This window comes from Homo sapiens, chromosome 14, assembly GCF_000001405.40.
Source record: "Homo sapiens chromosome 14, GRCh38.p14 Primary Assembly".
Classification (NCBI taxonomy): Eukaryota; Metazoa; Chordata; class Mammalia; order Primates; family Hominidae; genus Homo; species Homo sapiens.
Window position 1 is genome coordinate 77,498,875 of NC_000014.9, and position 23,648 is coordinate 77,522,522.

Sequence of the window (23,648 nt, forward strand, 5' to 3'; positions counted from 1 at the left end):
GGCGGGACCCGGCGATCCTGAGGGGCGCGCGGGGCACGGGGCCGCGCGGGGCGGGGGCGCGCAGCTCGCACAGCCTCTCTGGCCCCGGCTCCTCGCGTGGGCGCCCGCACAGCTCTAGGGTCCGCGCACCTGGACGTCCCCCACCCTCCTCCGAGGGGCCCCTCGGCGCTCCCCGACCCGTCTTGACCCTGTGGGCGGCTCTCTTTGATCTGGCCGCCTCCCCGCCCTCAGTCCCCGCCGCTGTCGCCGTCGCAGCCCCCAGCGAATTCCTGTTCGCGGGAAGCTGCGGCCCGGCGCGCTCCGGCCCTGCGCTGCGACTCCTGCGGGGCCCTGAGGGTCCGACGCCACCTCTGCCCTCCCCGACCGCGCTCCAACTGCGACCTGGACCGGCGGTGCCGCGCGGGCGAGGGAGGCGCAGCCCGACGGGAGAGTGGCGCGAGTCTTCGGATGCCGGGCAGATGTTTGGTTATGCCTCGAGGAAGGTTTGCTGGGGAGGAAGCCTAGAAGTAACTCCCCCAGGGCTCTTCCCAGTCTACTGCCGGAGGTGGAGACCAGAGCAGAGGCACAAGCCAGCACCTGCCATTCTGCACCCAGTGTCCTCGGAATGTTCTCAGAGCACTTTTAAAAACCGGAGAGTCGGCCGGTGGCTCACGCCTGTAATCCCAGCAGTTTGGGAGGCCGAGGCAGGAAGATCACTTGAGGTCAGGAGTTGAGACCAGCCTGGCCAACAAGGTGAAACCCCGTCTCTACTAAAAATACAAAAATTAGCCGGGCGTGGCAGCGCGCACCCGTAGTCCCAGCGGGTGGGAGCCCCGAGGTCCGGCGCACCTGGCCCACACACAGGTGGGAGAATCGCTTGCACCTGGGAGGCAGAGGCTGCAGTGAGCCGAGATTGCACTATTGCACTCCAACCTAGGCGACAGAGTGCGACCCTGTCTCAGAAAACAAAACAGGAGAAAGTTGAGACTCAGATGTGAGGATAAAGTCCCAGAAGGACAGCCGGGAGTCTGGTCGTCGCCTAGTTGTATCCTGGGTGAAACAGTGAAACTGCCCACTTCATCCAGTGGGACCCTTGGTGCAGGGATCCTCACGTAGGCCACGAGGGTCACCAAGATGGCCTGCCTCTGAGCAACCGACACAAAACCTTAGCTTGTGGCAAAGATCAGGAACTCTTGAGAGGCAGTGCCAATCTGGATGGGGCAGCTTGGGAATGTGAACGCAGTGACACCAGGTAGGGGGAGGGGTTGGGACAGGTCGGTGAGGAGCAGTCACAAGGCACTGGGGACATGCCCACCCAGGGGTCATAGCAGGGCGCACAAAGGATGACTCAAGTTTCAGGGCAGGGTTGGTGGATCCCCAGGGGTGGTAGAGAGGATGAAGAGCAAGCCCAGCTACTGGTGTAAACTGCTGGGTCTGGGTCAAGTTAGAGTAAGACTGTGGGGGGACTGTGTGCTTTTCTGGAACTACTCCTATTCCCAGGGGCACAGCTGCAGGGTTTTGAATGGTGCATCACAGGGATGACAACCTGGGTCTGGATTCGGCCATGGGGACTGGAATCTTTCACCATTTACCAAGTAGGTGATATTATTGGACAAATTATTTGACGTCTTCGTGCTCTTGTCATCTGTAAAAGTGTGGGGGCCCGGGAGCAGGAGAGGTTACCCCTCTCACCTGGGCACCAAGTGTGAGAAGTGTGAGTAAATGAGAAGTAAATGTGAAGTAAATGTGAGTAAATGAGAAGTAAATGTGAGTAAATGAGAAGCCAGGTTTCCATGTTGAGAATTTGTATTAGAATGAACTATATGAAGTTGCCATGTTTTGTTCAAAAGGTCGAATATTGGCAATTTCATATGGTGCAACCTAATAGGGTGCCTGGTACATGGTAAACACTCAAATGTTAGCCTAAAGAAACCCTGTTTATGAGCACCTGCTAGACCATATTGCATTTACTAGACTAAAGGCAAGGCCACCTTGTTCTTTTTCAGGAATTTTTTTTTTTTTTGGTATAAATATTTTTACATCCTGCCTATTATTTTGTCTTTTTACCACACTCCTGCACCTTCCACCAGATGAAAGGAGACTTGGAAGACAATGAGTTCATTCATTCATGAGCACCTGTCTCCATGAAGAGCATCACCACTGGACTCCAAGCCACGCCCCCAACTATAAATAGCCTAATTGGTCCTGCTGCACCCACTCTTGTTTTTACCCTCCCCCACTCCCCATGAAGCTGATTATCTTTTCTTTTTTTCTTTAAGATGGAGTCTCGCTCTGTCGCCCCGGGCTGGAGTGCAGTGGCGTGATCTCGGCTCACTGCAACCTCCGCCTCCCAGGTTCAAGTGATTCTCCTGCCTTCAGCCTCCCTAGTAGCTGGAATTACAGGCACCCACCATCATGCTCAGCTAGTTTATTTGTATTTTTATTTATTTATTTTTGAGATGGAGTTTTGCTCTTGTCACCTAGGCTGGAGTGCAATGGTGCAATCTCGGCTCACTGCAACCTCCACCTCCCGGGGTTCAAGCGATTCTCCTGCCTCAGCCTCCCGAGCTAGCTGGGATTACAGGCGTGCCCCACCATGCTTGCCTAATTTTGTATTTTTAGTAGAGACAGGGTTTCACCATGTTGGCCAGGCTGGTCTTGAACTCCTGACCTCAGGTGATCTGCCCACCTCGGCCTCCCAAAGTGCTGGGATTACAGGCGTGAGCCACCGCAACGAAACTTTTTTTTTTTTTTTTTTTTTCGGTAGAAATGGCTTCACCATGTTGGCCAGGCTGGTCTCCAACTCCTGACCTCAGGTGATCCACCCACCTCGGCCTCCCAAAGCCTGGGATTACAGGTGTGAGCCACTGCACCTAGCCTTTTTTTTTTTTTGAGACAGAGTCTCACTGTTGTCGCCCAAGCTGGAGTGCAATGGCATAATCTTGGCTCACTGCAACCTCCACATCTGAGGTTCAAGCGATTCTCCTGCCTCAGCCTCCCAAGTAACTGGGATTACAGGCAACAGGCACCCATCACCACTGCCGGCTAATTTTGGTATTTTTAGTAGAGACAGGGTTTCACCATGTTGGCCAGGCTGGTCTTGAACTCTGGACCTCAGGTGATCCGCCCGCCTTAGCTCCCAAAGTGCTGAGATTACAGGCGTGAGCCACTGCGCCTGGCCGGCCTATTTTTCCTTTTTAAAATAAGCTTCATTGAGATATAATTTACATATAATAAAACACACCCATTTTAATTGAACCATTTAGTTTTCGCAAATGTATACATCTGTGTAACCACCACCACAATCATGATGTAGAACCTTCCCACCATTCCAATTTCCTTCTGTGCGCTGTAGAAAAAAACTGTGCACCAGTGGAAAACTGCATTGTGTACATAGCGTACATGCTTCCAGGCTATTTGATTCTAGTCTTTCATTGCCTTTGAACTACTGCTCTGTAGGTTGTAGGTTAACTGGTAGCAAAAACAAAATTCTTGTCCATAGAAACGTGCAATCTGTCCTGTCCTGTAGAAGTTTGATTGACTTCCTTCTCCCAGTGTGGAAGAAACAAGTTTGCCTTCATTTGGACATTAATTTCGATATTCCTGATTTATAAATGTTGGTTTTTCAATATCTCCTTTGAATTGGTTTTAATGCCCTTACCAGTTTCCTCATTAATAAGTAAAGTCTTTAACACGTGTTCATTGTTTTTTTTTTCCTCGAGATGGAATCTGCTCTGTTGCCCAGGCTGGAGTGCAATGGCGCAAGCTCCGCTCACTGCAACCTCTGGCTCCTGAGTTCAAGTGATTCTCCCGCCTCAGCCTCCTGAGGAGCTGGGGTTACAGGAGTGAGCCACCATGCCTGGCCTAACACGTGTTCACTTTTATATCCATAAGAGACATGACTTCATGCTTATTTTTTTTATTTTTATTTTTTTGAGACTGAGTCTTGCTCTGTCACCCATACTGGAGTGCAGTGGCTTAATCTTGGCTAACTACAACCTCCATCTCCAGGGTTCAAGCGATTCACCTGTCTCAGCCTCCCAAGTAGCTGGGACTACAGGCGCACATCACTATGCCTAGCTAATTTTTGTATTTTTAGTAGATTTAGTTTCACCATATTCGTCAGGCTGGTCTTGAACTCCTGAACTCAGGTGATTCACCTGCCTCGGCCTCCCAAAGCATTGAGATTACAGGTGTGAGCCACCATGCCCCGCCGATTCATGCTTTTTGGAAAATTACATTTTAATAGTCCCTTTGTATAGTTAATCCCTACCTCCTTCTACCCTTGGCTCCTGGCAACCATTGATCCTGCTGTTACCATAGAATAGTTTTGCCCTTTGTAGAATTTCGTATCAATGGAATATTTATGTATTCTTTTCTTTGGCTTCTTTCTCTCATCATGTTTCTTTCCCCCATACACCACGTGCACTAGCATCAGCATGTGGCCGAGATTTGTCCATCTTGTAGGTATCAGTAATTTGTTCCTTTTCATTGCTGAGTAATATTCCATTTTATGCACATACTACAATGTGTTTATCCATTCACCATTATGGTTTTTTGTTTCTGGTTATGCATAGTGACTGTATTCAAGTGTAAGTCCTCATGCAGACATGCTTTCATTTCTCTTAAGTATCTATAAGTGGGCCGGATGTGGTGGCTCACGCCTGTACTCCCAGCACTTTGGGAGGCTGAGGTGGGCAGATCCCTTGAGCGCGGTAGTTCAAGAGCAGCTTGGCCAACATGGCGAAACCCTGTCTCTACCAAAAATACAAAAATTAGCCAGTCTCATAACTCAGTCTCAAAATAAATAGATGAATATTTTAAAATAAAAAATTTAAATTTATCTATGAGTGGAATTGCTGTCTCAAACCTGCCAAATTATTTTCTCACGTGGATGTACCATTTGTATTCCCACCAGCAACTGATGAGAGCTCCAGTTGCTCCACATCTTTGCCAACACTTGATATTGTAATTCTTTTTAATTTCAGCCATTCTGGTGGGAGTGGTGGTAGAATTTTTGTTTTTTGGTTTTTTTTTTTTTTGAGACGGCGTCTCCCTCTGTCGCCCATGCTGGAGTGCAGTGGTGCAATCTCAGCTTACTGTAAACTCCGCCTCCCGAGTTCGCACCATTCTCCTGCCTCAGCCTTCTGAGTAGTGGGGACTACAGGCACCCGCCACCATGCCCAGCTAATTTTTTGTATTTTTTTTAGTAGAGACGGGGTTTCACTGTGTTAGCCAGGATAGTCTTGATCTCCTGACCTCATGATCCGCCACCCTCAGCCTCCCAAAGTGCTGGGATTACAGGCATGAGCCACCACGCCAGGCTTTTTTTTTTTTTTTTGAGACAGTGCCTTGCTCTGTCTCCCAGGTTGGAGTGCAGTGGTGTGATCATAGCTCACTGTAGCCTTCAACTCTTGGGTTCAAAGGATCCTCCCACCTCAGACTTCTGAGTAGCTAGGACTCCAGGCATGCACCGCCATGCTTGGCTAATTTTTCAGTTTTTTAGTAGAGATGGGGTCTTGCTATGTTGCCCAGGCTGGGGTGGTAGAATCTTATTGTAGTTTTTATTTGCACTTCCCTGATGACTAATTATGTTAAGCATTTTTTCATAAGCTTATGGGACATTAGTTTACCTCTTTTGTGAAATGTCTTTTCCATCTTTTATCTATTTTTTTATGAATAGATTACTAAATTTTAAGGGTTCTTTATAGTCTGTATAGAAAGCCTTTATCAAATACATGTATTCTGAATCTTTTACTCCAGCCTGGGGTTTGCTTTTCATTTTCAGTCTTTTGAAATTTTCATTTTGATCAAGTCCAACTTATCAATAATGCTTTTTGTGTCCTCAGAAATCATTCCTAAAGTCACAGATTTTCTCTTCTGTTTTCTTCTAGACATTTTATAGTTTTAATTTTTGTGTTCAGGTGATTTATTTTGAATTATTGTATATCTATGAGTTAAGGGTTGAAGGTCATTTCTGCCCATATGGATATTTAGTTGTTCTGGGACCATTAGTTGAATTATCTGTACTTTCCCCACTGGAACTACCTTGGCAACTCTGTTGAAAATCAACCAACCTTCTATGTGTGGGTCTATTTCTGGACTCTAGTATGTTTTACTGATCTACATGACTATCTTAATGCCAACAGTAGTGTCTTGATTACTGTAGCTTTACAGAAAGTCTTGAAATCAGGTAGTGTAAGTTCTTTTCCAAAATCGTTTGGACTATTCTAGGTCCTTTAGATTTCCATATAAACTTTATCAAATTGTCCATGTCTACAAAAACACTGAGAGTTATCTGTTTCCATACTTTAAACTCCTCACTGGGCCGGGTGTGGCAGCTCATGCCTGTCATCCCAGTATGTCAGGAGGCTGAGACGGGAGGATTGCTTGAGGCCAGGAATTCGAGACTGGGCAACACAGTGAAACTCTGTCTCCACTTTAGGTAATAATTTAAAAAATTTTTTAAAAACCCAGCCCTTTCACTAGTCTGACCCCCACCCCCTGCATAAGAGAAAGACCTCACCAAGATCTACAAAGCCCAGTGAGTCTGCCTCTACCACCTCCCCACTACCTCACCTCCCCACACAGTTTTTAATCAAGCTCCAACTGTACTTTATTTCAGACCCTCCACGTCCTCAGTTTTCTCTCTCACCCCTGTCTAAACCAGATCATGGTTACTGTCTTTTTTTTTTTTTTTTGAGACAGTCTTGCTCTATTGCCCAGGCTGGAGTGCAGTGGTGTGATCTTAGCTCACTATAACCTCTGCCTCCAGGTTCAAGCGATTCTCGTGCCTCAGCCTCCCAAATAGCTGGAATTATAGGCACGTGCCACCATGCCTGGTTAATTTTTGTATTTTTAGTAGAGACGGGATTTCGCCATGTTGGCCAGGCTGGTTTCAAACTCCTGACCTCAAGTGATCCACCTGAAGTGCTAGGATTATAGGCGTGAGCCACCGCGCCCGGCCTGGTTACTTTTACCAAGCTCTTTACTTTTCCTCCATAGCACTTAACAGTTTGTAAAATGACATGTATGTTCATGTGCTTATCTGTTTACTAGCAAGTAGGAACCACAAAGCTCAGTGTGCTGCCCATCAGAGAGATAGCACTCAATATGTATTGGTTGAATGAATAAAGGCAGATATATCTTTCTGAATATTTTATTAGGGCAAAACAAGATATTTGCATGGGATGCTTCTTAAGTCATCTCAAGTAGTTCCCCTTCAGTTCTTAACATGCACTCTCAAAATCAACACACCTACCCCAACCCAATACTCATCGCTTCACAGTCATCCAGTAAAGTACAAAATAAAAATAAAAAAATCATCATCTGGCAAAAAAGGGAAACAGGGTAAGAGAGAGTGACATTTTAACACATTACTAAAATGTTTAAGCTTTTATTTACACATCCCCTTCTCTCAGTTTCCCAGGTTATATGAACATTACAGCAATAGAAAGGGGTTATCATCACAGCATCCCCTTGCAAATTCCAGTTTACAGGTAACTTGGTCAGGGGAAAAATATGGGTCAACGAAGTAAGATCTCAGCTCTCCCATAAGCTATTGCTCTCTTCTTCTCTTTCCCCCTTCTCTTAATGTTAGCTGCCTGTTACAGAGAGGGATCATCAAGACTGTGTGGACATGCTAGCTGAATTGACAGGGTGGGTTCCAGTGTCCTGTGAAGAACCAGCAAGGATGCTTTTTATAATTCCAACCATTGGCTTCACATCACTGAGGTAACAAGACTTAATGTTAAGGGTAAAGACACCACGCCACCCTAGTCAGTGACATGTACTCCACTTTCCAGGAAGACCTGGGCCAAATGACCAAGCTTTGCAAAAGAAACCTGGGAAGAGCGTTGGAAAAAGCAGACTCTGAGTTGGCTTGAGTCTCCTCGTGCATAGAAGCATTCACTCATCCATGCAGATGGCAACAAGGCAGGACACTCAGAAAGCATAAGATCAAGGTACTGCTCTTATCTGCACCTTTCATTCAAGCTCCCCTCAAGTGCTCCAAAAGAACAGAGCTTTGGGTATTGCTTCATTAAGAACACAGTAACTGCAGTTTAAAAGCCATTGCATTCTTTAGGGTCAGTTTATTATAACTTATCCTACCAGAAAGAATCACAGTTTAAGGCCATTTATCATGTGCACTATGTAGTAAACAAAACCTTGTCCCCAGCTCCACCAAGCCACTCCCAAGGGTGGACTGTGAATGTGACACTTCCAGACTCACCAGAGATTAGAAAAAACATTTCTATTAGGGTCTTAACCTAGCCCCTTTGGTTTCCTCCCTAGAAAAGAGCTGCTTAGAAAACAGATGTCACTGGAAATGACAAAAGGAACAACAGTATTTTCTATACATTAAAAGCAAAGGGATCATTGGCTAGCACTAGCATTTATTCTGTGTGATAGGGAAGCCAGCCCTCTAATTTGGCTCTCTGGCTGGGCACATGGCAATGGCTAGGGGCCTGGGCACACCTTTTTTTTTTTTTTTTGAGACAGAGTCTCCCTCTGTCGCCAAGGCTGGAGTGCAGTGGTGTGATCTTGGCTCATTGCATCCTCTGCCTCTTGGGTTCAAGCAATTCCTGTGCCTCAGCCTCCTGACGTAGCTGGGATTACAGGCATGTGCCACCATGCCCGGCTAATTTTTGTAATTTTAGTAGAGATGAGGTTTCGCCATGTTGGCCAGACTGTTCTCGAACTCCTGGCCTCAAGCAATCTGCCTGCTTCAGCCTCCCAAAGTGTTGGGATTACAGGTGAGCCACTGCGCCCAGCCATGGGCACATATTTCATGTGGATAAAGTTGAGGCGAGAAAAAGACATGTTTTTCTCCACATGGAAGGTATTTTTTAAACTGGTTTAATGTATTAAGATGGCTGCTGGGCACTGAGCATCCACGTGAAGCAAGTAGCAGGGTATCTGTAGGTTCTGGGACTGAAAAAAAAAATCCCTGTAAGTTCTTGGCTTAGTAGCCAAAAAATAATCTTTGCTTTTTATACCTCCCCATTCACAACCCCTTTGGGCTAAGCTGATTTAAAAAACATTTTTTTCTTAGATGGGGTCTTGCTGTGTTGCCCAGGCTACGCTCAAATTCTTGGGTTTAAGCAATCCTCCGGCCTCAGCCTCTCAAGTAGCTGGGATTGCAGGCTGCATCCGCACCCAGCTCCTAACAATTTTTTTTCCCCCTCTTATTGAGCCAGGGTCTCACTCTGTCACCCAGGCTGGAGTGCAGGGGTGCAATCATGGCTCACTGCAGCCTTGACCTCCCAGGCTCAAGTGATTCTCCCACACAGGTGGGACTACAGGCAGGCACCACCATGCCCGGTTAATTTAGAAAAAAATTTTTGTAGAGACAGGGTCTATCTTGCCCTGGCTGTCCTAACAATTCATAATCTTCATGAATGTGGACAGTTTGAAGGAAAACCACTACTCTCACCTCTTTTTCTAAGCACACGGTTATAGCAAGTAGAGATTAAAGCTCATTGGCTTACCTAGAACACCAAGAGAGGAAAGATACCTTGGGAATTAGGTCATAGCAATGCTTCAAACAACAACTGCCCATAACCCTACAAATCCTTGCAAAACAACAGTTACTCACATTCTTTCTTCACGGCCTACGGCATGACTGGCAGTTCTGCACTGTTGCCCAATCCCGGATCACTAGGAACCAGAAATCCTTATCAATTTGGAAAAAGGGGAAAAACATAAAAGTAGTGGTAAATGTCATCACTTTTTTCCTCCCTGAGAAATCAGGAAATCTCTCCATGGAAGCCACTCATCCCCCTGGTTTTCACCAATAAGAAGGAAGCAAAGTGTATAACACACTAGAAAATTCAGCTAGGCTGAACTAGTTGAGAAATTTAGATGCAGGCTCCCTTAGGTAATGAAGAAATTTGAAAAAAAATTTTTTTTAAAAGCCAAAGGAGCTAGCTTAAGCCCCTAATGAAAAGCCTCCTCCTGAAATGTAAGGCTAAGTGTACAAACAGAACCAAGGCGTCTGATATGCTATCTTCAAAGCCCAGCACCACCATATATTGGTTTTCTCTAGAGTTGGAATTTTAAAAATCAAGAACTTGAAGGTACAGAAAGAAAGAAAGGCCAAATAAAGGAAGAAGGCATTACGGAGACAAATCACTGGAAGCATGTTCAACTCCTTGGTGTTTGAAGAGGCATGACACAAACATAGAGCCCTTAGTGGTTGTGTAGGATGCTTCTGTTCACCTTGATGACTACAGAAGCAAGAATCCTGTTTTAAAATCCTTGCCCTATCATGAATGTTTACGATAGTGACTAAAGCACTACGATGGCTGGATTCTTCAAACAAATAAGCAGTACTTTGGGGGTTATGGAGACTAGAAGCTTTTTTTAAAGGTAAGGATTTCTTATCCAAAGCAAAGCAAAAAGTTGAAAAAGTGCTATAAAGTCCATGCCCCTGCTAAGTTAAAGCTTAAAAAAAAAAAGATGCGAGGAGAAACCGCCACTGCTGCTTGGTCCACTCCTCATATGGGCTTTTGACATCTCCTAGCTATGCATTTCCTGGCTTCTGATGTGATCTGCTGAAAGAGGTCTTATAAACCTGAAATAGGTAACAGCAATGCTGAATAAAAAGAGGAATGAGAAAAAGTGCTAAGGACTAGTCACACCTCTATCAATCGACTCAGATGATCAGTTTTGGTAGTCATGGTTAACCGGTATCTGTTTGAATCCTATCAGAGTCTTGAATCAGGCCGTGTTAAACTGTGTAAGAAACTACTCTTGTATGCCTCAAATCGACTTATTCTCAATGACTGTATTTATATATACTTGTATTCCTCCAAGTACTTGGATAAATGATGATACCTAGGATATGACTGGACCCTAGATTTACATTACAGTTTCAAGAAGAGACAACCAACCATGTATAATGTCTACATAACATTTTGTTCTTTAGAAAGTACAGAGGTCCTGCATAGATCACAGGAGATTTGTCTCTTCAAAATAAACTTGTAACAAAATTACACTTATCTTGAAATAACTTTGTACCAACAAAGTGATATAGATATATTTTAAATGCCGGTACTGACATTTGAATTTGCAGTGACTTCATGCAAGCCAAAATAAAAAGACTAGCAGGTAAGTTCATTGCTTATAAGTTTGTGACTTTTACAAACCCTACGTTTACATTAGTAAATAGTAACTGCAGTGCAAAAGCTATGTGGTATTCCAGTGGGATTCTATGGTAGGAAACTAGATGTGCAGAAAAGGTTGACAATGTATTTGATTTTATAGGACTCCTATTTAGTTACCACAACCTCCTTCTTACTTTAACCTATACATGCTAAATATAGTCTCTGCATCTCTCCTTGGTTCTTTCATTCATCTTTTTCTGTTCTTTAAAAAAGTAAAATAAAACTTTGGAATATCTCAAGGGCTTATTAAAGTTCTCAGATGCTGACAGTGACTAAACATAACTCATACTCAAGACATTAAAAACAAAACTTCACAAACAATAATATTGCTTACATCCTCTGCTATACGTAATGTGCACAAACATATCACAGCTGATGACAACACACCCAGGAGAATTTGGATTGAGAATCTTTACCGATAAAAGGAGCAATTTCAAAAACTTAAATGTGTAACATGACTTTTTTTTTTGAGACACAGTTTTGCTCTGTCACCCAGGCTAGAGTGCAGTGGCACAATCTCGTCTCACTGCAACCTCCGCCTCCTGGGTTCAAGCGATTCTCCTGCCTCAGCCTACCAAGTAGGTGGGATTATAGGTGCCCGCCACCACGCCCAGCTAATTTTTTGTCTTTTTAGTAGAGACGGGGTTTCACCATGTTGGCCAGGCTGGTCTTGAATTCCTGACCTCAAGTGAGCCACCTGCCTCAGCCTCCCAAAGTGCTAGGATTACAGGTGTGAGCCACCGCACTCGGCCTGTAACATGACTTTCATACACTGTTTTTCCATTCTGTTCCCAATCCTTCTCCTGTAATACTTGATGGATACAAAAAGACAAACTGATCCTGGGTATAATATGCCAAAAGTCCTCTTCACTTAAACTTTGGTTCAACTGAAAAAATAACTTTAAAATGGTGATTTTCAGATTTGTTCTTTGGTCAGGCAGTATAAAGCTCTCTGAAAGAAGTCCCTTTACCTGGTTATAGTATGAAAACAGTCAAAATAGAAAATGTCAGTTTAGGAAAGAGATCTATGTGTTCAGAATTTCTCAGAAAAAAATAAAAAATATGTAGACAGGCAGACCCTAGCCCCAGATGCCAGATTCAATTGACTTAGGACATCAAGAATAAAAGAGAACTAGCATTCAGAAGAGTAATATTTAAGTGGGTTAGCTTCTAAGAGGCCTAAATTAATAAACCTAATCCTTAAATAGGAACATGATAAATGCTTTCTGAGCAGAGGATTTACCAACAGTTTCCTTTATCAGTTTAAATCCTAATCTGGACCCAGACCTAGCCAGAGACTGTCATAATTTTCAAACGTAGAAAGCAGTAGGAAATGCAAGCCACAGGCTCTGCAAGGAGTAATCAATTCTTTGCACACTGCCACTGCCCCTGCCCCTCACCCACCAGGAGTGCACATCACTCTACGGAGCAGCTTTGTACCCAACACTCAGATGTGAGAGTGGCCTTCTCACCAGGGTGGGATATGGGTGCTCTGAAAACAGTAAGTGCTTTAAAAAGGGGGTGGGACGTGTTACGGTTAGAGCTTGGGAAGAACCAGAATTTGCGCACATCCTCAGACTGTGACCATTATGAAGAAGTATTTGATGGTAAAGGAAGAAATCATCTGGTGACCAGAAGAAAATGGAATAAGACCAAACCCTTGGGAGATTACACAATGAGCCTTTCAGCAGTCATCGCTTACTGTTTTTCTTAAAAGGCTAAACTTAAGATTAAAGGGTGAAAACTTCCGTTGATTACTTGAATGGTTAAATAAGGATTCCAAGGTTGGCCTTGAGACCTCTGAGACCTGGATGGGAAGTAAGTGGAAGGCACTTGCTCCCTAGGGAGGAGGGCCAGGTAAGTATCCAGGCTGCGGAGCCAGGGCCAGCAGTAGCTCTTGATGGGCCCAAGTCTGCAAGGTGCTGGGAGAGGGGAATGGCCTGTGTGGTTAGCCAGAGACAGGCTAGGGTCAGCGTGATTTCACAAGTAGAATGGTTGCAAAATAAAATGTTTTTTTAATGGACTGAAAAAGCAAAGTGAGTCACCTTCGTTTTTAAAGGTGAGATTTAGCAAAGGAAGGATTAGAAGCAGTTTTTTACTATTTACAAAATGTCATTTAGAGTGGAGGTGGCCACCTTCAGTAGCTGAGGCAATGTCTTTCACGTGAGATGGCCACAGAAGTGTGGTTCCTGGAACTGGCTCACAAAGGCCACAGGCTGTCCTGGGTGAGGGAGAGTTCCTCTGAGGGAGCACCAAAAAGGCTCAGTCTTCTGTTTCTTCATACGTCGTCTCGTCAAAGGGCCTGTCCAGTAGAGGTACCAACCGATGACGGGAATACTTCAGCTGCAATAGGTCCCCAACTTCATCTATCTCCTTTAAAGCCTAAAATACACAAGACAAAGTAGAGGTCTGTCAGAGCCAGTAGGATGCAGGCATGCCTGGTGTTTTACTTTGCTAAAAACAATCATGGCAAGATTATCCTTCGGCAGGACTTATGTCTAGTGCATTTACAAGATCAGACTACAATACAGCTGTGGAAGGAGCTGCTTTTTGAACAAGGCCTTCAAGCTCACCATGAATAATGGGTTGTGAATAGCCAGGTATGCAGAATAAAGGCTATAATTCAAAGTATGATATGCTTGGTAGAAAAAGTTATATGCACTCTGAACTTACAAAACCGAATACAATTTGTCATCTCTCCCTTTTGTTTTTGAGATGGAGTATCGCTCTGTTGCTCAGGCTGGAGTGCTGTGGCGCCCTCCGAGCTCACTGCAACCTCCACTTCCCAGGTTCAAGTGATTCTCCTGCCACAGCCTCCCAAGTAGCTGGGATTACAGGTGCCCGCCATCATGCTCAGCTAATTTTTGTATTTTTAGTAGAGATGGGGTTTCACCATGTTGGCCAGGCTGGTCTTGAACTCCCAACCTCAAGTGATCCACCACCTTGGCCTCCCAAAGTGTTGGGATTATAGGCGTAAGCCAACGAACCCAGCAACTTTTTTTTTTTTTTTTTTTTTTTTTTTGAGACAGAGTCTTGCTTTATTACCCAGGCTGGAGTACAGTGGCACCATCTCGGCTCACTGCAGCCTCTGCCTCCTGGGTTCAAGAGATTCTCTGCCTCAGCCTCTTGAGTAGCTGGGACTACAGGCATGTGCCATCACACCCAGCTAATTTTTGTCCAGACAGGGTTTTGCCATGTTGGCCAGGCTAGTCTTGAACTCCTGGCACCAAGTTACCCACCCACCTCTGCCTCCCAAAGTGTTAGGATTACAGGCATGAGCCACCACACCTGGCATCTTAAACTTCATTTTTTTAAAAAATCAGTGTTTGGAGAGAGAAAACCACCAGTATTACTGATGTATTGTAGCACAAGAAAAAATATTCTTCATTTCAAAATGTGAAAAATATAAAAGCAAATAAGAGCTGAACGTCAATGTGCTATCACAACAGCGGTACCTCTGAGAAGAGGTATAAGTGAAAGCTCCACATGGAAACAATTTAAGTCTGAAATTAAGCTGGGAGAACCCATCGACCATTTATTCACCTGACCTCTGTGACAAGATGTAATAATTTAAGACAAAAGTCAAAGCTGGCCGGGCGCGGTGGCTCATGTCTGTATAATTCCAGCACTTTGGGAGGCTGAGATGGGCAGATCACCTGAGGTCGGGAGTTTGAGATCAGCCTGACCAACATGGAGAAACCCTGTCTCTACTGAAAATACAAAATTAGCTGGGCGTGGTGGCACATGCCTGTAATCCCAGCTACTCGGGAGGCTGAGGCAGGAGAATCGCTTGAACCCAGGGGGCGGAGGCTGCGGTGAGTTGAGTTCATGCCATTGCCCTCCAGCCTGGGCAACAAGAGCAAAACTCTGTCTCAAAAAAAAAAAAAAAAAAGTCAAGGCTGAACACGGTGGCTCAAGCCTGTAATCACAGCACTTTGGGAGGCCAAGGCAGGCGGACTGCTTGAACCCAGGAGTTTGAGACCAGCCTGGGCAACATAGTAAGACCTCGTCTCTTAAAAGAAAAAAAAATTGGCAGGCATAGTCCCAGCTATGCTGGAGGCTGAGGTGGGACGATCCCTTGAGGCTGGGAGATGGAGGCTGCAGTGAGCCAAGATCATGCCACTGTACTCCAGCCTGGGTGACTGAGACCCTGCCTCAAAATAATAATAATAAGACAAAAGTGCACATGACTAAGATCACAAAGTAATGGACATTTATAAACTTTAGAAGAATCTAGAATTTTTTCATCAATGTAGAAAAGTAATCATTAGATAGAAAAAGAAATCCTCAGTAGCCCAAGGGGATCTAGATTACAAGATTTCCTTTGATCCCACTCCAAATATTTCAGACAAATCGGTGTCATGTGAATATAAGATGACATTCTAATGAGTGCTGACTCTTGTGTGGGGTATTTGGGTATGTTAGGGACAGGCAGCCATTACATGCATCGCCATTCATTAACAGTCTACACAGAACCTCTAGATCACAGGTAAGGTGGGTTTCTAGGAGAAAAACATGTATTCATTATAGAGCTGAGTAACCGAATCCTCTAGGACAGCCATCCTGCCGCTCCCCTGAGCCAATATCCTTGCGCTTCCCATTTTAAAAAATAACAAAATTATAGCTTTGAGATACAATTCACATTCAGCAAAATTCACTTTTAAAGTATACAATTCATTGCTTCTAAGTATATTCACAGAGTTGTGCAACTTTTGTCACTATCTAGTTTTAGAGTATTTTTATCACCCTAAAAAGCAACCCAATACTCGTTGTCTCAATCCTCACTCCCCCTCCTCTCAGGCTGGCTGCCACCAATCTATTTTCTGACCCTATGATTTGCCTGTTCTGGACATCTCTTATAAATGGAATTGTAAGTTATGTAGTCTTTGTTTTGGCTTCTTTCATTTAGCCTAATGTTTTCAAGGTTTATCCATGCTGTAGGGTTAAAACTTCACTCTTCTGCATCCAGCTGACCTAGTACTGTTTGTTGAAGAGACTATTCTTTTCTCATTGACTGGTCTTGGCTCCCTTGTTGAAAACAAATTGGCCATAGATGCTTGTGCTTTATTTCTGAACTCTGAATTCTACTTCACTGGTCTATACGTCTATCCTTATGCTAGTACTCGACTGTTGTAATTACTGTAGCTTTGTAGTAATTAGCTTTGTTTTAAAATTAAGAAGTGTGAGTCCTCCCACTTTGCTTTTCCTTTTCAGTACTATTTTAGCTATTCCCTGCCAGTTCCATATACATTTGAGGATCAGCCTTTTAATTTCTGCAAAAAAGGGCCAGTGGCTTAGGGTCTCCCAGTCCATTTTTTTCTGAGAAATGCTGAACACAGGATCTGTAGGTTGCTATACTGCCATCTTAACAATATTAAATCTTCCAATCCATGAACACAGGATGTCATTCCATTTCTTTAAGTCTTCTGTAATTTCTTTCAGCAAAGTTTTATAGTTTTCAATATACACATCTAAAAATACAGTGTACAAGTGTAAATTAGCCAGTGTACAAGGGAAAGGCTTTTTTTTTTTTTTTTTTTTTTTTTGAGACAGAGTCTCGCACTGTCGCCCGGGCTGGAGTGCAGTGGTGCGATCTCAGCTCACTGCAACCTCCGCCTCCCAGATTCAAGTGGTTCTTCCGCCTCAGTCTCCCGAGTAGCTGGGATTACAGGTGCCCCCCACCATGCCTGGCTAATTTTTTGTATTTTCAGTAGAGATGAGGTTTCACTGTGTTGGCAAGGCTGATCTCAAACGCCTGACCTCCCAAAGTGCTGGGATTACAGGTGTGAGCCACCGCACCCAGCCAGGAAAGGCTTTCTTAAGTTTATTACTAGGTATTTTCTTCTTTTGAAAATTGTAAAAGAAATTTTCTTTTCATTTGTTCATTGCTGGTGTATAAAAGCACTAATTTTTTGTGTGCTGATCTTTTACCCTGCAACTTTGATGAATTCATTTATGAGCTCTAGCTGTGTGTGTGTGTGTGTGCGCGCGCGCGCATGTGTGTGTGTGTATTTTACAGCACTTTCTATATACAGAATCATGTCATGAGGCCCATTATTAAATGAAAATTAATTTGTATCTCATAATGGTCTAGTACACGTTTAGTTCCATAAAACATCATAAGACAAAATGACTTTAACAAATCCATGGTTTCAAAAAATGCACTTTATGCTTTAAAAAACTAAATGGGAGGCAAAGCCCAACAATCCCTCAAGAGAATCTTATGAAAAGGATTAGAACTCTCAGTTGGCAAACATACTTGTTGGCAACAGAAATCTCCTTAGATATCCTAAGGAGATATCCTGGTTACATCTAAATTCTTTCATGAATGTGTACAGTTCTCAGAAGTCAAAGTTGTGGTCAGAAGGCATGGATTACTGCCATAGACACTGGTTATAGTTACACAGACTTTTTTTTAAAGGCACATTGAAATTCTGAGTTAACAGGTGAACATGAGAAAGAAAAAAGAAAATTCTTAAAACATCAATAGAGTAGGAAGGAAAGAAAAGCTGAAATCTCTAGGTTAAAAAAAATCATCACAGAAATTCACCAGTAAAATTTCTGAGAAATGAGAAAAATCCATTGGAAAAATCTGACAGGCATAATCAAAATAAAGAAAAAAAAGATACAATATCAAAAAGTTGAATCTAATTGGATATTGTCAGAATGTAATTAAGAATATGCTCACAACACTGTGCCTATAGTTAACAATACTGTATTCGACATGGAAAAATTTGTTAAGAGGACAGATCTCATGTTAAGTGTTCTTACTACAATTTTGTTTTTTAAAAGGGAATACACTTATACTCATAGAAATTTTGCTGTGTAGAAACAGAGAAGAAAAGTCAAGTCTTCGGCTATTCAGGAATACAAAATGTCCATCAAATTGTTATAATTAACTTTTATAAAGAAGCATTCATAATGTTCTTTAGGATTAGTAGCTCTTGCCAGGCAGTGGCTCACGCCTGCAATCCCAGCACTTTGGGAGGCTGAGGCAGGCGGATCACCTGAGGTCGGGAGTTCGAGACCAGCCTGACCAACATGGAGAAACCCTGACTCTACTAAAAATACAAAACTAGCTGGGCATGGTGGCGCATGCCTGTAATCCCAGCTACTCAGGGGGCTGAGGCAGAATTGCTTGAACCCAGGAGGCAGAGGATGTGGTGAGCTGAGATCACGCCATTGCACTCCAGCCTGGGCAACAAGGGCAAAACTCTCTCTCAAAAAAGAAAAAAAAAATTAGTAGCTCTCTAACTCATTAATGGATATTTCTAGCAACTAATTTTATGCAAATGTCATGTTCTAAAGCTTTATAAACTCCCAGATGGCAATAATGATTTAAACTCTGAAATCTTAGACTTGCAACAATAACATATTAAGAGAATATATAGAGATGAGAATATCTTGAGATAATAAATAATTAAGCTTAGTAATAATGATCCCCAACTAGATGCCTGGCAGTGTGGTGGGTGCTGGGATATAGAATCAGTAAAACAGACTTATTCCTATCCTCAATATTTATCTAATGGAGAAGACTGCTATTAAATAATTATAGGTGTGAAGAATTTAGTAAGGGAGAATCTCAGGATTCCAAGGGAACACAGAGCAAGAAGGTGTGGGGCGCCCCTGAGCAATTTTCCTTTAAATGGAGATGTGAAGAATGAGTGGCAGTCAGCCAGGCAGAGGGGAGAGAAAGCTCAAGAGAGAAAATTTTAGACAGAACAACATATGAGAAAGCTTAATGTAGAAATAGCTAGAGTGGAAAGAGAATTGTAGAGTCCATAGTGAGGGAGACAGTAGAGCAAGACAAAGCCGGAAAATTCTCCAGAGCTCTCATGATGCAGGTGTGGTGGGTGACAGTTTTTTTGTAAATGCCAATGTTTTTGGTAGCACTGTCACCCCCTCTGTCTTAGGTGCTCACAAGAACATCAAGATCAATATATTATGAATTTCATCTAATATACAGGCCCTTTTAATAAAAGGCATATTTATATCAAGGTGAAAGTGCCTACTTACAGTATCAAGTATTTCTTTGGTATGAGCTGCTGACAGGCAAAACCTGGCTCTGGACTCAATAATTGGGGTGGCAGGAAATCCAACCACAACGACACCGATGTTCCGCTTCAGCATCTCCCGTCCAAAGGCGCTGCAAAGGGGAAAACAAGAACAGAAACCAGGAGGAGTGAAAAAGCACTCATTACAGAGGACCTGCTGTCCTCAAAGATTTCAACTCTTTGGTGATGCAGGCATTGGAGACTTCTAATAGGAGTTTCCTTTAACTCCTTTTAAAGTTAAAATTGACAGCTCACAAATACTTTTAAAGTCAATCCTAAAGCAGTCTTCTCCTATATGGTGTCCTTCACAAAACTGAAATAACCAGCCTGGGCAACATGGTGAAATCCCGTCTCTACCAAAAATACAAAAAATTAGCTATGTGTGGTGGCATGCACCTGTAGTCCCAGCTACTCAGGAGGCTGAGGCATGAGAATCTCTCGAAGCTTGGAGGCAGAAGCTGTAGTAAGGCAAGATCACACGACTGTACTCCAGCCTGAGCAACAGAGCAAGGCTCTGTCTCAAAAAAAAAAAAAAGTGTCCCTGATATGTAATAGTGGTTCAGAGGCTTCAAAATGAACCTGTATTTAATTAAAATCTGGTCCTTGAAATGTTAAGCTTGGCAGTTTAACATTAATCCGCAAATTCTGAGGATTCTGCAGCTGTGGGGGATCTGCTGTAACACGGCACATCTTTTCTGCTAGCAGAATGGCTGACTGGCATGAGCTCTCCAGATCACACGTTTCTTTAATTGTCTTGGGAACAACACTGCTTCAGAATTCAGGGCTTCCTTTGGTGTCTGTCAGGCCAGTTCACCCGCTGGCTTCAGCTGATTACTCAGACCACACAATTCGTATTTAACAATCCCCCACCCCTATCGTAAGCCAAATTGGAGGCCCTGTGGCCTTACTCCACATCTGTATCTTGTCTAAATAACACATTCTAACTTTTAGTTAATTTTGTCTACTAAATTATGTGGGTTTTTTTTTGAGTCTCTCGCTTTGTCGCCAGGCTGCAGTGCAGTGGCACGATCTTGGCTCACCATAACCTCCACCTCCCAGATTCTAGCAATTCTCCTGCCTCAGCCTCCCGAGCAGCTGGGATTACAGGTGTGCACCACCACACCCAGATGATTTTCGTATTTTTAGTAGAGACGGGGTTTCACCATGTTGGCCAGGATGGTCTCGATCTCCTGACCTTGTGATCCACCCACCTCGGCCTCCCAAAGTGGGATTACAGGTGTGAGCCACTGTGCCTGGCCCAAATTATGTTGCTTTTTGTCTTTTCCTCTTATTGACCTCCCTTATGTTTCAACTTTTCCTTTAAGCTGTTTACAGCATTTGTTTGAGAATAAAAAAATGTGGCCGGGCCAGTGGCTCGTGCCTGTAATCCCAGCACTTTGGGAGGCCGAGGCGGGCAGATCACCTGAGGTCAGGAGTTGGAGACCAGCCTGGCCAACATGGTTAGACCCCATCTCCACTAAAAAATACAAAAATTAGCCAGGTGTGGTGGCACACATCTGTAATCCCAGCTACTGGGGAGGCGGAAGCACAAGATTTGCTTGAACCTGGGAGGTGGAGGTTGCAGTAAGCCGAGATCACGCCATTGCACTCCAGCCTGGGCTATACAGATCCTGCACATTTGGCATTACATTAATGCCAGTCTTTTCACAGCCTTTTCCCACTCTCTGTAGTACCAGTACATCTTCCTCAACATACCTCCTTTGTGTCAGCATGAACCTGGGTGCCCTGTATCTTCAGCACATGCTCCCAAACTGTCTAGTGCCTTATTCTAATTCTTTACCTTCTCTAAATCTTTTTTTTTTAACTTCTTAAATGCACAAATTTATTTTTTCTCAACAAACACACATCTTAATGCCTTTACAACTTTTATCTCCCCAAATATACCTTGCTTTTCTTTATACATGCTGTATACAGAGTTGTTTTCCTTATATTTAGTAGTTATTGCTTTTTTGTGCCCTTTTGGGTCCTGTACCTTCTCTAAATCTTTCCTAATTAAAGTGTACACAGTCAGTTGCACCTATGTAGAATAAAGGAGACACAGCCTTCTTTAAAGAGAGCTCTAGACTGAGTCCTTTGGATCTGATAACTCTTCATGTTTGTTTATGAGAATTCCACTTAAAGAAGAATGAAGAAAATCCTTCCCCATCCCCTCTGAAGCCATAATACCAACTGCCCATATGACTTCATGTTGAAACCCAAATTCTTCTTTTTCTCTCAGGGAGCACCTTTTCCTTACTTCCCTTTCATTCTCTTTGAATCACATTACTTCCAGGTTCCCTGATTTAATTTCCTCTCCCATATTCATTTCAGTAAACATTTACTGAGTGTCGGAGACTGTGGTGGACACTGGGGATTCAAAAATTTACAAAAATTGCTCCTTCAATGAGTTCAATCAAACTGGAGAAATGCTTTAAGATCCAGCTCAAAACTCACCCATCCAACAAGATGTGCCTTTCTTACTGAGCCTATACTAAGCAGGTCACTCCTTTATTCTACATCTTCAGGGCCACTTTGCATATAATAAAATTTGTTCAGTATAATTACTGTTCATTTGCTTTTCAAATGTCTTCTGGTTTCATTATACATCTGGACTTCTCAAATACATTGAAAGCTATCCTAGGGCAGGGCTTTCCATTATGTATGCCTCATACAAACCAAAGAAGCTGGTGTAATCTGCACACCTGGTAAGTATCCAATAACACACTCTGATAAAACCTCTCTGACCTCATGGCCCACTGCTCGCCCTGGGGCACGGTGCTCCAATTCCAGGGACCTCTTTGCTACTCTTCCGTCAGCTAAGCAAGCTCGCTTCTGTACTGTGGCCTTTGCACAGATGCTTCTTTCTCCAGTGGCTGTCAGCTCCTTCAAATCTTTGCTCAGATGTCATTTTCCTTCCCAAGGAGGCTTCCTTACCCTGACCACCCTATTTAATAGTGTTATCGGCCCGCCCACAGGGCACTCTCAACTCCCCATATAGGTCCTGCTCTATTTTTTTCCATAGCACTTGACACCTTCTAACATCGTACACAGTTCATTTGTTTATTATGTCTGTCTGACTGTTGCCCCCTACTAGACTGTAAGCTCCACAAGGACAGAGATGTTTGTATTTTATTCACTGATCTATCCCAGGCCCCTAGAGAGTACATGAAACTCAAATGTTTAATGAAAGAAGAACAAATTAACATACTTTACAATTTGGAATCCACTATTTGATCTATGGCATATGTACCAAATGAAGGTTAACACAGTAAGGACAAGACCATTTTCCCTAACAAAATACATAAGCCCTGGTCTCACATCACAGATAAGGATAAGGACAGACTGGTCTGTGATCTGCAACAAAACGTACCCAATTTTGGCAGGCATGTAGAGCATCAAAGGCACTACTGGAGAGTCTTCATTTCCATAGATGATGAAGCCCATCTCTTTCAGGCGTCTCCTGAAATACCTGGTGTTTTCAGCTAACTGTTGTACACACTCTTTACCTGGAAAGTCACGGTGAGAGAAAACAAAATAATCCTAAGTAAAAAGGAATGGAAAAAAGACAGTAAATCTCCTCTATCTCCATTCTATCTAATCAGTTCTGTTTCGTTTTTTTCCATTTCACCATAAAATATTTTACAGAGTAAACCATATGGAATATAAATGTAAAATGTCTCATTTTGTATTCTGTCATTCTACCTGTTAACAGCAGAAGTTATAATAATGTAAAAAACGTTTAATGGAGCGTTAGCATCCTCAAAGAATTTCAGCCATACCCCCTCACTGAGCACTCCACAAATCCCTTGACAGTAGGCAGGATATTTATGATTATCTTCATATTATAGGTGGGGAGACTCTCACCAAGGTAGTGACATGCCTACAGTTGCACAATAGTGTGTGGCACATTACAAGTAGCAAGTGGCATAGCTGCAACTAGAATTTACATCTTCTAACTTTAAGATTCATTCTAATTAACTGTGCTGCAAATAAATTTTACACATAAGACCAGAGATGAAGCCTTTAGACCCCCAAATTTTCATCTTCTGAGTTTCATTTTGTTGTTTCCTTACAATTCTTTTTTTCTTTTTCTTTCTTTTTTTTTTGAGACGGTGTCTCACTCTGTCGCCCAGGCTGGAGTGCAACGGCACGATCTTGGCTCACTGCAATCTCTGCTTCCCGGGTTCAAGCGATTCTCCTGTCTCAGCTTCCTGATAGCTGGGGTTACGGGTGCACATCACCACGCCCAGCTAACTTTTGTATTTTTAGTAGAGACAGGGTTTCGCCATGTTGGCCAGGCTGGTCTCGAACACCTAACCTCAAGTGATCTACCCACCTTGGCCTCCCAAAGTGCTGGGATTACAGACATGAGCCACCGCGCCTAGCCTGTTTCCTTAAAATTCTTACCAGACAACAGTAACATATCTGTAATAGTATAAAATCGTAT

The 23,648-nt window shown here is 43.4% G+C and overlaps 1 protein-coding gene across 1 annotated transcript in view, besides 2 other annotated features; it reads right to left on the reverse strand.

Annotated features, from left to right (window-relative positions):
* Nucleotides 6–195: a silencer, noted in NCBI's record as "silent region_5975". NCBI's record gives its function as "represses an Ori minimal core promoter by ATAC-STARR-seq in GM12878 lymphoblastoid cells {active_cell/tissue: GM12878}" and the evidence as "EXISTENCE:reporter gene assay evidence [ECO:0000049][PMID:35858748]".
* Nucleotides 566–625: an enhancer, noted in NCBI's record as "active region_8803". NCBI's record gives its function as "activates an Ori minimal core promoter by ATAC-STARR-seq in GM12878 lymphoblastoid cells {active_cell/tissue: GM12878}" and the evidence as "EXISTENCE:reporter gene assay evidence [ECO:0000049][PMID:35858748]".
* Nucleotides 7,123–23,648, reverse strand: part of SPTLC2 (serine palmitoyltransferase long chain base subunit 2) — a 110,641-nt gene continuing 94,115 nt past the window's right edge. The window contains exons 10-12 of the mRNA NM_004863.4: nt 22,572–22,707; nt 19,164–19,293; nt 7,123–13,529 (exon numbers count right to left, since the gene is read on the reverse strand). Of these exons, the coding sequence (NP_004854.1) occupies nt 13,410–13,529; nt 19,164–19,293; nt 22,572–22,707 (386 nt within the window). The 3' untranslated portion in view covers nt 7,123–13,409. The remainder of the gene's footprint in view (nt 13,530–19,163; nt 19,294–22,571; nt 22,708–23,648) is intronic.